Here is a 15,632-nt window from a genome sequence, read left to right as displayed (position 1 = left end):
CTACACTTAAAGAATCGGGATCTGTATTTTAAAAGATGCTCAGCTGATTAATAGCCACGTTAAACTTTTAGAAGCACTGATCTAATCCCCTAAATTTCACATATAAAGAAACAGAGACCACCCCTCAGAGGAGCAAACACAGACATGCTGGATCCGGTCGTCACTGGATGGGAACAGGGCTCCTGAAGTTTCGCACTAGAAGGCAGGCGATGGACAGGCGCAAAGGGGCCTCACCCGGTCAAGGAGTAGGATGCGGCCAGCGCAGGAGCTGGTGGTGAAAAACTGATCTCGCATGTTCAGAAACTGCACAAGCTCTACCACATCCTCGTCAACACTGCCCTTCCGGCTGAGGTCCGCTTTGCTCAAACATTGCGCCTTCCATTTCCTGAACTCCGCGCTGCGATCCATGGGTGACGGACTCAGGGTCTGCGCTCGGCTCCTTCATGGTAGCCTCGTCTCTCCCTGGGGGCAGCCATATTGAAGCGAGCGGTGGCCGAAAAGGTCCAAACTTCCTCTTCGTTCTTAATTTGGGAAATTCTAGTGCCTTCGCCTAGGGGTGGAGAGAGGCGCACATCCTGGGTGGAGCGAGGCGCACATCCTGGGTGGAGCCTGCAAAAGTTGGAGAAGGTGTGGCAGTCCTCATTTCTGTGGAATCTGAAGAAGCCCACGCAGATTTTAATTCCCACTCTAGATTCTGGTAAGTGGTTTTAAAAACTCTCCTTAGTTGTTTAGACAGCGAATCTCCCCACTGCTCGTCCAAGTGGAACCGAGTTTGATTTTGGCTGCACCCCTTTCCTGCCCTCTGTCCTCCCAGAGAACTAGTGCGTAGAGCTCCAGACCGAAGCCATTCCCCTCCAGGGGCTGCAAGTTCCCATCCATAAATCAGGTAGGAAGTTTTGCCTTCTGGTCCTGGGCTCCTAGCCCTGGTCCTGCGTTTAGGCTCTGAGTTTAGGCTACCACACCATGAGGTGTCCGTTGGCACTACCCCTGCCCAGCCTCCGCCCCCCGCACTCCCTGTCCCCCAGCCCCACGCTGCACCCCCCCCCCCCCCCCCCGCCAGTCACCCGCTTGATTTTTCCCTGCAGCCAGTGCCTGGGTTTGGGGATTCCTGCAGCAGCGCCCAGCGGTCTGTCCAGGGCCCCTTCCCACAGCCCAGCTCTCAGCTGTAGAGGATTTGTCCTAGGTAGGGCCCCTTCCCACAGCCCAGCTGTAGGGGATTTCTTCTCCTAGGTAGGGCCCCTTCGCACAGCCCAGCTGTAGGGATTTGATTTCTTCTCCTAGGTAGGGCCCCTTCCCACAGCCCACCTGTCAGCTGTAGGGGATTTCTCCTAGGTAGGGCTCCTTCCCACAGCCCAGCTGTGGGGGATTTCTTCTCCTAGGTAGTGCCCCTTCGCACAGCCCAGCTGTAGGGGATTTGATTTCTTCTCCTAGGTAGGGCCCCTTCCCACAGCCCACCTGTCAGCTGTAGGGGATTTCTCCTAGGTAGGGCTCCTTCCCACAGCCCAGCTGTAGGGGATTTCTTCTCCTAGGTAGTGCCCCTTCGCACAGCCCAGCTGTAGGGGATTTGATTTCTTCTCCTAGGTAGGGCCCCTTCCCACAGCCCAGCTGTGGGGGATTTTTTGTCTTGGATTCCCACAATTACAGGTTTCCCGGAGCTTCCTCCAGCTTTGCCATCAGGATTGCAGTCTTTGAGAGAAATGTATAGTTTTATTGACCCTGTGACGCCCACCACCTAGAATAATCTTCAAAAGAAAATTACAAAACACCCTGTTAACACATCGTTGGATGTTTATACTGAGTTTCTAGAGGAGACTCAGTGACCAGGGAAGGTGTGTCAATGATTAAACCTAAAGGCTAAAGTTTGGAATGCTTGTCCGTAGCTAATGGAAATTGTTGTGCGAGTCCCTCTGAAGCCACTGTGATTACGTGTCTGGTTAGCGCAGCGAGTTCAGCAGCAAATCTCTCCAAGCTCTACTCCTCCAGCATTAGGGAACAGACTGCCCTGTTCCATACGATCATGGAACCTGGAGGAGTCCGAAATTATTAAACTCCTCCCCTCTTCTTACCCCGTCCTATCTCAAGTGAACAGAAGTGACCTGATAAGATCACACAGCCAGGAAGAGACTTTCTCTGACCACTTGTAATTCTTGCCTTTTTTACATTTCTGGGTTAATAATAAACCATATGCTTACATGAGTCATTGTGTATTAGCAGCAGAACAATTTGTAATGATTGATTTTTTTTCTAAGTTTTCAGTTTTTAAAATTCTTGCCAGAATTCTTATTTAATTTTACTTTTGCTCTTGTCTCATAATGTTCCTTTGCTCTGGCTTTGTGACTTGATCTGTTCATCCTATGTTAAAATATACTCCTAACATTTTCCCAATTCCTTTAATTTTCGTTTAAATCAAATGGATACAAGCATAGCCAGGAAAAAGATCACTGTTGGAAGAGGGATTTTAGATTTTCTATTTCCTAGATTTGTAAGGCATATTGGCAACCTTTCAGAGGTAAAATTAAACCAAAAATTAAACCAAGGGACTCTTAATTTTTAAAAGTTTATATTTGATAAACAGGAAGGCCTATTTGAAGTATAGTTTAATTAAAAAGCACAAGCAATGGAAAGGCCTGTCCTGTTCACAAGGATCCGATGCTAGGGAGTAATTTTTTTTTATACATTTTTAAAAATAGAATCATGTCCTTTGTATTTCTGCTGCATTCCCTGACTTAGTGGGCATTTGAGAAATTTCAAACTCTAAGCAGATGCCTTAGTCATAAAATATGCGATTCTACCTGCAGGTTAGTTTGATTTCACATTTTCTAGCTCAATCTGTCTCACTATCACTATTGTAAAGTTTATTTCTACGAAGTAAAGGGTCTTATATGCCAGCATCTCAAAGGGTGAGATGAAAAGGATGGTAAAGAAAAAAATCAGCTAACACCATTTAATTACAGGACTTGGGTTCTAGCTTTGCTTCTGTGTGACCCTGACCAAGTCTCTTAACCTCTTGTGATGTTTTCTCATCCATAAAATGGATGGCGATTTTATTTTTACTTCTGCATAAAATAATAGTTTAAATAACTTCTCTACCTGTTCTGAAAACAGTTAAGTCAATGGAGGTGGAAGACTTATGCTTTTTAGAAGAAATCCGGTATTACAGGATTTTAAGTATTATCCTATTTGCCATCAGTATGCCACGTTATTTTATTCTTTGTGTAATCTCCTTTGACAGGCTTCATCGTTATGAAGCATATGATGATCCCGTGGATAGGTGAGTTCAAAGGCAATGAGTGCAGGTTGGAGCCTGATGAATCAGAATGCTAAAGGCTCAGTGGGAGATAAGATCAACAGAAGCAAAGTAGGAGATAGTGTGGTCAGGCCATGCCCCATCACTTTCAAGCCTGATAGGATAATGTAGTCAGATAGTACTGGGCAAAGCAGATGAGTCTTCCAAATCCAGTAGGATGAGTCATCTTCCTTTATTCCTTTCTCCCAACTTAGCCAATGCCAAAATGTGGGGGGGGAAAGATACAGATCCTATTTCAGAGTAATTTTACTTTTATTATTACAACAGTTTTTTTATGGTAATCATGAGATGTGAGTGAAAGAAATATGTAGGAAGTAGGTAGATATCGAAAATGGAAAAAGCAAGCATCTCATAGGCTATGTGTGTAGGTGTGAGAGAGAGAGAGAGAGCACCCAGCTTACAGAAGCTAGGGGCAGGGTGGGGCATTTTCTTCTTGCTCTTTGTGTTCTCTGAGTTTAACACACCACTTCATGTACAGTTAAGGTTCAGAAAAATACGCATTGCATAACAACCAATATTTAGTATTAATGTTTTGTTTAAGTCATCTTCTAGACCGAATTCTTTGAGAATAAGAGCTTGTTTTGATAACCAGAGTTCTGTAAATATCGTTATATTAAAGATGATTATAGAACTATAGAGTATATTTTTTTCATAACATTTTAATGACTTCTCTAGTCTGCTGCTTTTTTTTTTTTTTTTGAGACAGGGTCTCACTCTGTCACCCAGGCTGGAGTGGTGCAGTGGCAGGATCATGGCTCACTGCATCCTGATCTCCTGGGCTCAAGCAATCCTCCCACCTCAGCCTTCTGAGTAGCTGGGACCACTGGTGCTTGCCACCACACCTAGATAATTTTTTTTTTTTTTTTTGTAGAGATGGCATTTCGCCATGTTGCCAAGGCTGGCCTTGATCTCCTAGGCTCAGGCAATCCTTATGATTCAGAAATTGAAAAGAAGAATAGAGGGGAAAACAATAATGATGTCTACTATATACAAGATCATGTGTTTGCTAAGTTCTGTGCTTGGTGCTTGCCACGTCTCTAGCACGTAACTCTGAGTGGGATCCCAGATTTCAGATGAGGAAACAGCATCAAGAGGTTGACTGCCTTGCCCAAGGCCATGTGGCTCCCACATGATAGAGCTGGGACTCACACCTCGAGCTGCATATTCCAAAACCTGCTCTTTCCGTAACGTCATGTTGAAAAAAAAAAAAACAAAACAAAAACAACCTCTATGTTCTTATATCCACCATGGAAAATTCTCATCTGGGCTACCTTTTTCTTTTTTATTTTCTTGATACTTTCACTTTCTTGTCTAAGGAATTCTGAGCTAGAGTGAAGACCTGAATGGAAGTAGAGTGGTGAGATTGCTGAGTAGGACTGGACTGTTTTTTTCCCAGCCCTGCCCTCTGACAGATCATCTCCCCGTCAGAGACTGCCAAGCTGTTCTAAAGTGCAGTGTTTATGCCGTAGGCCTGCTTCTGCCTCTGTTTTTCCCCGAGGACCACCCTTGAGGATATGTCATTGCTAAACAACCTTTGGAAATGTCACTTTCTCCTTTGTGCTAGACATTGTTAAATCCTTTTAAGGGTTTTAAAATGGCACAAACTTTTGATTAATTATATCAAGAACTTCCCATCAATAACACTACCAAAATACTTATGATTCCACCCCTTGCCCCAGCTGCTGTATGTGGAAATGTGGAATGACATTTTATAGCCTGTATGGGCTCTGTTCTGAGTAGTCCTGTGTGGAGTTTTGATACAGTAAAAGTCTGAATTCTTTCATATCAGGTCCTGGTTTCTGCAGCTCTTCTTAATGTTTAAGCTTCTTGTGGTTGAGGCAGATGTTTTAGGTGATGGCAGAATCTAACACTATTTGGTTGATTTCAAGAAATTATAACCCACAGATAAAATTATGGGGATATAGTCAAAACCTTTCATTACATCTTTACAGGTACAAAAATTTTTCTAAGATTATATAACTTTCTGTACAAATGTTCTTTGCTTTTTTCTAGGTTATTTGAACTCTGAGTTTTCATTTCCTTTGGTATTAACAGTGATAGGACAGAAAGGTTAGCTGTGACCTTGTAATTTATAAAAGATTGCATATGGTGCACTGTTTTTAGTTTTTTGATGTTTTTCCCCTTTTGTTAAAATGAATGAACTACATAAAGCCAAGTGTTTTGACATTGATAAATCTCAAAAACTTAATGCTGAAAGGAAATAGCGAATTGTAGAATTCTTTTTCAAATCAGAATTTTCTTTTTCCTTTCAGCACTAAGTTTCTGAGATTTTTATATTCCCTAAACTGTGTAAATAAAGTTTGAAAACATGCAAAACAATAACACATATTGTTTAATATTACATACTCATGTAGAAGTGGTATTAAATGCTTGAGAATGATGAGTACTAAATTTATGGTTATAGTCACCTCTTGAAAGGGTGGGACAGAAGCAGGTTTGGCTTCAATTATATCTATAATGGTTTAGGTTTTTTAAATGTTAAGATTTGTTAAAGCTGGGTAATATCATTTGGCTCTGTCGCCACCCAAATCTCATCTTCAATTGTAGCTCCCATAATTCCCACGTGTCATGGGAGGGACCTGGGGGAGGAATTCAATCATGGGTCAGGTCTTTTGCATGCTATTCCCATGATAGTAAGTCTCATGAGATCTGTTGGGTTTTTTTTTTTTTTTTTTTTTTTGAGACAGAGTCTCGCTGTGTTGCCCAGGCTGCAGTGCAGTGGCTGGAGTGTAGTGGCATCTCTCAGCTCACTGGAAGCTCCACCTGCCGGGTTGACGCCATTCTCCTGCCTCAGCCTCCTGAGTAGCTGGGACTACAGGCGCCTGCCACCATGCCCGGCTAATTTTTTTTTTTTTTTTTTTTTTTTGTATTTTTTAGTAGAGATGGGGTTTCACTGTTAGCCAGGATGGTCTCGGAGATCTGATGGCTTTATAAAGTGGAGTTCCTCTGCACATGCTCTCTTGTCTGCCACCATGCAAGTTGTGCCTTTGTTCTCCTTTGCCATAATTGTGAGGTCTCCCCAGCCACGTGAAACTGTGATCCCTTAAACCTCTTTCCTTTATAAATTGTACCCAGTCTCAGGTGTTTCTTCATAGCCATATGAAAATGAACTAATACGGTAAATAGGTACCATTAGAGTGGGGTACTGCTGTAAAGATACCTGCAAATGTGGAAGCGACTTTGAAACTGGGTAACAATTGGAACAGTTTGGAGGGCTCAGAAGACAGGAAGATTTGGGAAAGTTTGGAACTTCCTAGAGACTTGTTGAATGGCTTTGACCAAAATGCTGATAGTGATATGGACAATAAAGTCCAGGCTGAGGTGGTCTCAGATGGAAATGAGGAACCTGTTGGGAACTGAGCAAAGGTGACTTTTGTTGTGTTTTAGCAAAGAGACTGGTGGCATTTTGCCCCTGCCCTAGACATCTGTGGAGCATTGAACCTAAGATGATTTAGGGTATCTGGCTGAAGAAATTTCTAAGCAGTAAAGCATTCAAGAGGTGACTTGCGCATTATTAAAATCATTTAGTTTTATGTATTCACAAAGATATGGTTTGGAATTGGAACTTATGTTTAAAAGGAAAGCAGAGCATAAAATTTCAGAAAATTTGCAGCCTGAAGATGCAATAGAAAAGAAAAACCCATTTTCTGAGGAGAAATTCAAGCCAGCCGCAGAAACTTGCCTAAGTAAGGAGGAGCCAAATGTTAATCATCAAGATAATGGAATGGGGAAAATGTCTCCAGGGCATGTCAGAGGCCTTTGCGGCAGTCGCTCTCATCACAGGCCAGAGGCCTAGGAGTTAAAAAATGGTTTCCTGGGCCGGGCCCAGGGCCTCCATGCCGTGTGCAGCCTAGGGACTTGGTGCTCTGCATCCCAGCCATAGCTTAAAGGTGCCAACATACAGATCAGGCCATTTCTTCAGAGGTGCAAGCCCCAAGCCTCTGAGGCATTCATGTTGTGTTGGGCCTGCCAGTGCACAAGAGTCAAGAATTGAGGTTTGGGAACTTCCACCTAGATTTCAGAGGTTGTGTGGAAATTCCTGAATGTCCAGGCAGAGGTATGCTGCAGGGATGGAGCCCTCATGGAGAACCTACCTCTGCTAGGGCAGTGCAGAAGGGAAATGTGGGCTGGGAGCCCCCACGCAGAGTCCCTACTGGGACACTGCCTGGTGGAGCTGTGAGAAGAAGGCCACTGTCCTCCAGACCCCAGAATGGTAGATCCACTGATAGCTTACACTGTGTGCCTGGAAAGGCTGCAGACACTCAATGCCAGCCCATGAAAACAGCCAGCAGGGAGGCTTACCCTGCAAAGCCACAGGGGCAGAGCTGCCCAAGGCCATGGGAACCCACCTCTTTTATCAAAGTGACCTGGATGTGAGACATGGAGTCAAAAGAGTTCATTTTGGAGCTTTAAGATTTGACTGTCTCGCTGGATTTTGGACTTGCATGGGACCTGTAGCCCCTTTGTTTTGGCCAATTTCTCCCATTTGGAATGGCTGTATTTACCCATTTCCTGTACCTTCTTTGTATCTAGGAAGTAACTAACTTGCTTTTGATTTTACAGGCTGATAGGCAGAAGAGAGTTGCCTTGTCTCCAATTAGACTTTGGACTGTGAACCTTTGAGTTTATGCTGAAATGAGTTAAGATTTTGGGAGACTGTTGGGAAGGCATGATTGGTTTTGAAATGTGAGGACATGAGATTTGTGAGGGTCCTGGGGTAGAATGATATGATTTGGCTATGTCCCCACCCAAATCTCATCTTGAATTGTAGCTCCCATAATTCCCATGTGTCATGGGAGGGACCTGGTGGGAGGTAATTGAGTCATGGGGGAAGGGAGTTCCCATGCTGTTCTAGTGACAGTGAATAAGTCTCACAATATCTGATGGTTTTATAAAAGGGAATTCCCCTGCACAAGCTCTCTTGTTTGCCACCATGTAAGACATGCCATTGCTTCTCCTTTGCCTTCCACCATGATTGTGAGACCTCCCTAGCCATGTGGAACTGCAAGTCCATTAAACCTGTTTCCTTTATAAATTATCCAGTCACCAGTATTTCTTCATAGCAGTATGAAAATGAACCAATACACTGGGTGTCAGGTAAATGTTTGGAATGTTTCATAATCTAACAAAAGGAGGTCAGTTTACCTAATGTTAATAAAACTCAACTCATAAAATTTCTAAGGTATTGCAACTCAAGCAAGAAAACCTAAATATGGTATCATGCTATGTCTATCCAGATGTTTTTGTTTGCATGTTTGATTCCTTTGTTGAAGGCACTGAATCCCTGCAGGAAGTAGCATGAAGGATTCTGCTTTATAGCTGAGGGATTTGTAAGATGAAAGGTCCTTAAACATGAAATGAGATCAGTGGTAAGCTCATGATTTAAATTGTTATTTGAAAAAATTGTTTGATCTGCTCCCTCCAGGGGGGAAAAACATGGTGATATCCTAGATACAATGTGACAATACATTAATTTTTTTTCTTCCTTAGTATCTAGATCACCATGGCGACTGGACAGAAGTTGATGAGAGCTGTTAGAGTTTTTGAATTTGGTGGGCCAGAAGTCCTGAAATTGCGATCAGATATTGCAGTACCGATTCCAAAAGACCATCAGGTAGAAATAAAATTACTTTATTGAGGCTATAATTATACTGAGTGTGAGTCTCTTGCACATTGTATTAAAAAGAAGCAGACTCACAATTATTTTTAAAAACATTGAATTAGGATGCAGTTTACACTATGTATACATATGGACATTGATAAAGTTAACATAAACCTGATAATTAGTGAAGTAGATGTATGAAAAAGAATAACCTCTGGTTATAAGAAAATTTTTGATGTAGGGAATGATCTATGTAGTGCAATAATTGGATTTTTCTGAATGGACACATAAGGAGTTTTGAATAAGTTATTCTATTACAAACATTCATGATTTTTATTTTTTGCATGCTGGGAAAACAATTTTCTTTTGCATTCATGCTTTTTCATGTGTGATTCATGAGAATTTAAGTATATAGTTTAATCATCTCCAGTGACTTTAACAATACACTTTTGATTTTAAATTATGTATTTTTATTACTGCACCCTCCATGGCTCCCAAGTCTAATTTTCTTAGCAAGCCTATGAGAGTCTTTACAGTTTGGATATAACCTATCTTTACAAATTTATTTCTCATCACTTCCTCTCCATGTAGAGATACAGTGCTGTAACAACATCAGCTTTTGTCCAATTTCCTTAATACTTCCTTTCATTTCTCTGTCTTTGCACATGCTATTTTTTTTTACCCAACCTATCCTTTCTCTCATTCCTAAAGAATTTCTACTTATCTTTTAAACCCTAACTAAATACCACTTCCTTTATAAAGCCTTCCCTTACTTTTATACCAGAGGTAATCATTCTGTGTTAATTAAGGTAAAATTAGCTCCCACAATTGCTGTAACCTAAAAATTGCAATAGTCCAGCCATGGACAATTATTTCTTATACACTAAATTTAAAAGTTCTCAAATGTGGGTGGGTAGCTGTTCTCCAACAGTGACTTAGGGACTCAGCTTCTTCTTTCATGTGGCTCTGCCACCCAACCCGTCTTCAGGGTCTCCATGGAAGAAGAAAAGCACGATGTGGCTTGGCTGGGAAGTTTTAATGGGTCAGGTCTGCAAGTGTCTACTGTCACTTTTGCTAACATTCCATTGGCTAGAACTCAGTTACTTGGCTACTCATAACCATGAGGGAGGCGAAGAAGTACCACTCTTTCTGTGTACCCAGGAAAAGGAGAAAACGGGTTTGATGAACACGCAGAGGTCTCTGCCACATATCCCCTTAGATATTTCTTTCACTATTTTCCCCAAAATGTTTTTAATGCAGTACATAAGCCATTCTGTCATACTTATTTATGTTAGCTTGTAAAACTTGGAATGTGAGCTTGTTGAAGGCAAGCACTTATTTGTTTTGCTTTTGTCTCCCATTTTGATAGCTCCCATAATCAGCACAGTCCTAGCATAAAGTTAAATGAATGCCTAAATTCTTTCTGTGAACTAAAATACATTGTCATTGCAGGTTCTAATCAAGGTCCATGCATGTGGTGTCAACCCCGTGGAGACATACATTCGCTCTGGTACTTATAGTAGAAAACCACTCTTACCCTATACTCCTGGCTCAGATGTGGCTGGGGTGATAGAAGCTGTTGGAGATAATGCATCTGCTTTCAAGGTATTGCATTTTTAATTATTTCTATTTTGGCTGAATTTATTTCATAAAAATATTTGAACATAGCTTTCAACTGCATCTTATTTAAGGTTTTAAAAGGCCCCATTACACAATTTCTGCCACTCGGGGGACTCCTCTAGTCAAAAAAGGAATTAAGAAATTAGATTTTATCCAGAGGCCTTATTTGTTTACTACATTGTAGTGAATAGGTGCTGGGTAATTTCTGTATCTTCATGTCCCCACAGAATGAACTGTGATTTTTTTTATTTAATAGAAATATGTAAGGAAAGAAAACACACAAGGAAGTTAGACTATTTCCTAACTCTTGATGATACATAAGCTAACATAATTTTTAATTTCTCTTATAAATTTTGCTTCATAATATAAAGAGAAAGTTAATTCTTTTGAAAAATAAGTAAAACATGAAAAAATGCAAGGTCACTATACAGTTTTGGAGCCCTGACTCAGTGAAAATGTTATGCTCAGGATATATATATATACACACACACACATATATATATATATATGCCCAAAGACATATTCATAGTAAGCTCATGTCCTAGCATCTTTCCTCATAATTCCTTGACCTGCTCAACTTTGGCAGCACCTTACCAAAATTAGGTTGAGACAGAGAAGATTACTGTGCCCCTGTACAGGAAGACTGGCAAATTCATACAGCTTTCCACCCCTCAGCTTGTGGCAACCTGGCTTCTGCCCCCATCGCTCCACTGAAAGGATTCTTGCTAATGTCACTAATGGCCTCTGTATTGCTGAAGTTAATGGGCCCTTTTATGTCATTATCTTTCTTGATTTCTCTGTGACATTTGACACTCTTAGCCACTTAACTTTTTCTTTAAACTTTTTCTGCAGCTTCTGTGACATCATTTTCTTCTGTTCTCCTCTCCCCCTCCTTTCTGGGCCTCCGTTTTCAGGCCTCTCTTTTTCTCTGGATATTCCTTAAATCTTGGTGTTGTCTGGGGCTCTCAGTCTCTATTTAGACCTCTGCTTTCTGTATTCTTTACCTTTTTCATAATCTCATACACTCTTTTTGTTGCCATTATCACATGTTACATCTTTAGCATAGAATTTTCTGCTAAGCTCTGGATCTGTGCTATCCAAAACAGTAGCCACTAGCTACATGTGGCAATTTAAAATTCAACTTAAATTCATATTGAAAATTCAGTTCCTGAGTCACTCTAGCAACATTTCAAATGCTTAATAGCCTCCCGTGTCCAGTGGCTATCCTGCTGGACAGTGCAGATGTGACCATTTCCATCATTACAGAGAGTTCTGTTGGAGACACTAGACTCACATGATCAACCTCCAGAAATCTCTTACAAAACATGTCTAAAACTAGCTTATCTTTTCTCACTGCAGATAGCGCCTCTCTTGTGTGACTGTCTTGGTGACTTCTGGGATTTGAGGATTACTCCTCGCTTTCCCTTACTAGAACTGTTTTCTCTCTCCTTTCCATTTCCACTGCCAGTAGTTTAGTTCAGGCTATCTTACCTACTTAACTATACCCCTGACCTGAATTTCTATAATAGACACTTTCTCTTTTCCCTGGAATTCATCCTTACTCTAGAATGAATCACTTTATAGAATTTAATTCTGATTGTTTTACACCTCTGTTTTCATTCTTGCATCCATGTCTTGTAGACTTCAGGGAGACTCTTAAAATTCCTTATTGCTATGAAATAAGACTGTTTCATGCTCTCTCCCATCTGTCTTTCCAGTCTTAACTCCCACTCCTCCTCACAGTGTAGTTTATTCTTCAGTAATGAAGTGTTTGTCCTTCCCTGCACATCCCATGCTCTCTCATCTCTGTGTTTTTGTTCATATTGGTTCTTCTAATTGACAGAATTAAATTGAAACTTACAAACATGGATTCAAAGGATTTTACACTTTAGCTTCAATTTCTTTTCATTTTATCTCCTGAAACAGTTACATACCACACATTAGTCTGCTTACTCATTGGTAATAAATGCTGCTAATTTCATGGCATTTATTCCTGTCCCTATCGTTTGGCCAACTTTGTTTCCTTCACCCGTAATGACTCTTCCCCATTCTAGTTTTCAAAATCTTGTCCTGTTCTTCAAGATTTACCTCAATTGTTAGCTTCTCGATAAAGCTAGTCCTAATTTCCTCTACTTAGAAGTAATTTCTTTCTTTTTCTTGTACCTATCTTCAGTGGCTCATCATGTTTGCCTTGCTTTTTGTAATTATTTCTATCCTTTGCTTTTCTCTCCTCCGAGAGTCTAGGATGCTTGAGGTTAGGGACAGTGGTATTGATGTGCCTCACATAACTTGAAATAATGCTTTCTATGTAGTATATTCGCAGTAAATGTTTGAATTATATTGAAATCAATTCAACATGTTTTTTAGCTGTTAAAACTGGATTAATCTTCATCATATTTGACATTTCTGGGCAACCATATTAAGCGGTGATACTTGTCTTTGACTCTTGGATGGCTTTTGAATCTTTTTTGTCTTTATCCTATCAGATAACATTTCTACATTTTCAGATTTCAGTTAAAGTATACTGAGCAATCATTACCTTAATAATTTGCCTATTCTAAGGAATATCTACTTTTTTCTAAAAAGGAGGAGTTAAGGTAGGTGGTTACGGTGGGCAGTCTAATTTTCCCTAATGTGCAAATTACATACTGGCCCAATAATGCCTGGCCTAGGGCATTGTTTCACCCTGAGTCCTGCATCTACTTTTTAATAGTGAGGTCCAGCAGACATTTGTTGAGGCTTTACTGTGTTTCTGGTGCCGTGACAAGAAGAAGGCTGTCCTGGGTCATCCTGCTGTCAGGGTCCTAGTATGGTTTTCTGCCTTTGGGTGTTTGCATGAGAAATAACGGCAATGCAGGGGTGAGGAAACTCATGGATGGGATTTAGAGTAGGTGTTTGGTGTGCGGAAGAAACTTCATATCTTATTTGTTTCTTCTCCCTAGCATTTTGGACAAAAATAACAGTTTATATTGACTGCTATTTACTAGCTGCTTGATCTGAGGAAATTATTGAACTTCTTTGTTCCTCAGTTTACTCATCTGTGTAGTGGGGATTGCTCTAAAGTAGAGATAATACATGCCCACCTCACTAGCTGTTGTGAAGATGAAATTAGATAACACTCCAGAGACACTTAATGCAGTGCCTGGTATAGCAAGCTCTTCATGGACTGAGCCATCAACATCATTATGATGCCATTCAAGGAAGTTTATCCTTCTTTTTCTTATATGTTTTCTGTTTTCCTTAGATTTTCTTCCCATTGGTTCCCATTAATAAATATTTTTAAATGTGAAGTATTTTAAAATGATTTATGGCTGGGCATGGTGGCTCACACCTGTAATCCCAGCACTTTGGGAGGCCGAGGTGGGCACATTATGAGGTCAGGAGTTCAAGACCAGCCTGACCAACATGGTGAAACCCCGTCTCTACTAAAAATACAAAAATCAGCCGGGTGTGGTGGTGCGCGCCTGTAATCCTAGCTACTCAGGAGGCTGAGGCAGGAGAATTGCTTGAACCCAGGAGGCGGAGGTTGCAATGAGCTGAGATCATGCCATTGCACTCCAGCCTGGGTGACAGTGCAAGACTCTGTCTCAAAAAAAAAAAAATTATTTATATGAGACCCTATAGAGGACAATATATGAGTACTCACTTATTTCTTGTTATAAAGGATTATACCTATTTTGACATAATATGTTTAGTCTTCCTGCATTTATTCATTTATCTCTTCCCCTAGAAAGGTGACAGAGTTTTCACTAGCAGCACGATCTCTGGGGGTTATGCAGAGTATGCTCTTGCAGCAGACCACACTGTTTACAAACTACCTGAAAAACTGGACTTTAAACAAGGAGCTGCCATCGGCATTCCATATTTTACTGCTTATCGAGCTCTGATCCACAGGTAATAACACATTCTGTCAATTTTATGGCCAATGCCAAAAGAGGGTAGTGTTAACTGCCTGCCTTCTAGCTGTCTGTCCATCCATCTGTTCATCATATTTGGTTACCAGTTACTTACCATTAAACATTTATATAATGGAAACTGTGAATTTGGGGAATTGTGCTAATCACTAGGGATACAAAGAAGAGCAAACACTGTCTTCAAGATGCTCACAGTCTAGTAAGGGAAATGACATAAGAGTGATCATATTTATATATAATGTGGAAAGTACAGTGGTAGAGATGTGCATAGGGATATATAGACTCAGAAGGCATGTGCCTGTGGTGATGAGGTAGGGCTTCCTGGCAAGGTGTAAGACTTAGATTATTTTAAAGCCATGGTTCAAAAATCTTGTTATCCATTAGAATCATCTAGGCAGCAATTTAATAGTACACTATTGGGCCCTACCCCAGACCCTCTGGTCAGTTTCCATAGCTGGTGCCTGAGAGTCTATAGTTTAATCCCATCTACTAAGTATTTGAAAAGCATCAGAGGGAATTCACCTCAGGAAGGGTAACTAGAAGGAGAGAGGACATTCTGGACAATGGGAATAGTATGGGGAAAAACAGTATGGTGTGTGGGAACAGCTATAGAAACTTGATTTTGTTAGAGAAGAGATTTCAAGAGAAAGAGTAGCGAAGAATAAAGTTGGAACAGAGTAATCTCTCAATAAATGTTAGCTGTCATCAAATATATAGAATTCAGGTTGTAAAAGACAGATTATAGAGCTTATCCATTGCTCTGTAAAGGACTGGAAGTAATGAAATGCTTTATTCAGGAGACTGCTATTGTCATATTTATGTTTTATTGAGATGACTTATCTGCTGTGTGTAGGATGGATTTGAGGATAGGAATGAAGAGATAAGAGCGTCTTATAGGAGTCTCCACTAGACAAAATCCTTATGGGCCAGAGCAAGGGTTCTGGTAGAAGAAGTAAGTAGAGAGGAAAGAATAACTATTTAGTGGGGGTAAAATCAGGGGTATTTGGTGATTATTTTCAGGTAGAGAATGAGGAAGAACTTAAGAGTAGTCCAGCTTTCTAGCTTGGGTCATGTTTAACTGTGACAAAGAAAAGAGGGAAAAAGTTTCAAAGGGAAGCTGTATTCAGTTTTGGATTTGAAGTTGTGAGAGACACATCCTAATGGAGAA

General features: G+C 40.8%; 2 protein-coding genes across 11 annotated transcripts in view, besides 4 other annotated features; one reads left to right on the top strand and one right to left on the bottom strand.

Moving 5' to 3' along the window:
* The window catches only part of TYW3 (tRNA-yW synthesizing protein 3 homolog), a 33,526-nt gene extending 33,025 nt beyond the window's left edge, over nt 1-501 (bottom strand). For 3 of the 4 annotated variants that reach the window (NM_138467.3, XM_006710347.3, NM_001162916.2), the window contains exon 1: nt 235-501. In NM_138467.3, the coding sequence (NP_612476.1) occupies nt 235-408 (174 nt within the window). In that variant the 5' untranslated portion in view covers nt 409-501. Of the gene's footprint in view, nt 1-121 lie in introns of all 4 variants that reach the window. The other variant, NR_027962.2, reaches the window with a different exon arrangement.
* Nucleotides 211-921: an enhancer, noted in NCBI's record as "H3K27ac hESC enhancer chr1:75198416-75199126 (GRCh37/hg19 assembly coordinates)". NCBI's record gives its function as "activates a minimal SCP1, AML or CMV promoter by ChIP-STARR-seq in primed H9 embryonic stem cells {active_cell/tissue: H9 hESC(primed)}" and the evidence as "EXISTENCE:reporter gene assay evidence [ECO:0000049][PMID:30033119]".
* Nucleotides 367-656: an enhancer, noted in NCBI's record as "active region_1200". NCBI's record gives its function as "activates an Ori minimal core promoter by ATAC-STARR-seq in GM12878 lymphoblastoid cells {active_cell/tissue: GM12878}" and the evidence as "EXISTENCE:reporter gene assay evidence [ECO:0000049][PMID:35858748]".
* The window catches only part of CRYZ (crystallin zeta), a 27,565-nt gene continuing 12,535 nt past the window's right edge, over nt 603-15,632 (top strand). For 2 of the 7 annotated variants that reach the window (XM_017000367.3, NM_001130042.2), the window contains exons 1-5: nt 603-697; nt 3,233-3,271; nt 8,819-8,942; nt 10,383-10,535; nt 14,281-14,444. In XM_017000367.3, the coding sequence (XP_016855856.1) occupies nt 8,832-8,942; nt 10,383-10,535; nt 14,281-14,444 (428 nt within the window). In that variant the 5' untranslated portion in view covers nt 603-697; nt 3,233-3,271; nt 8,819-8,831. Of the gene's footprint in view, nt 887-3,232; nt 3,272-8,818; nt 8,943-10,382; nt 10,536-14,280; nt 14,445-15,632 lie in introns of all 7 variants that reach the window. The other 5 variants (NM_001130043.2, NM_001889.4, XM_047446751.1 and 2 more) reach the window with 3 other exon arrangements.
* Nucleotides 1,517-1,806: an enhancer, noted in NCBI's record as "active region_1199". NCBI's record gives its function as "activates an Ori minimal core promoter by ATAC-STARR-seq in GM12878 lymphoblastoid cells {active_cell/tissue: GM12878}" and the evidence as "EXISTENCE:reporter gene assay evidence [ECO:0000049][PMID:35858748]".
* Nucleotides 11,051-11,608: an enhancer, noted in NCBI's record as "OCT4-NANOG hESC enhancer chr1:75187729-75188286 (GRCh37/hg19 assembly coordinates)". NCBI's record gives its function as "activates a minimal SCP1, AML or CMV promoter by ChIP-STARR-seq in naive H9 embryonic stem cells {active_cell/tissue: H9 hESC(naive)}" and the evidence as "EXISTENCE:reporter gene assay evidence [ECO:0000049][PMID:30033119]".

This window comes from Homo sapiens, chromosome 1 (genome assembly GCF_000001405.40).
Source record: "Homo sapiens chromosome 1, GRCh38.p14 Primary Assembly".
NCBI lineage: Eukaryota > Metazoa > Chordata > Mammalia > Primates > Hominidae > Homo > Homo sapiens.
This window is presented reverse-complemented; position numbering and strand designations above follow the sequence as displayed.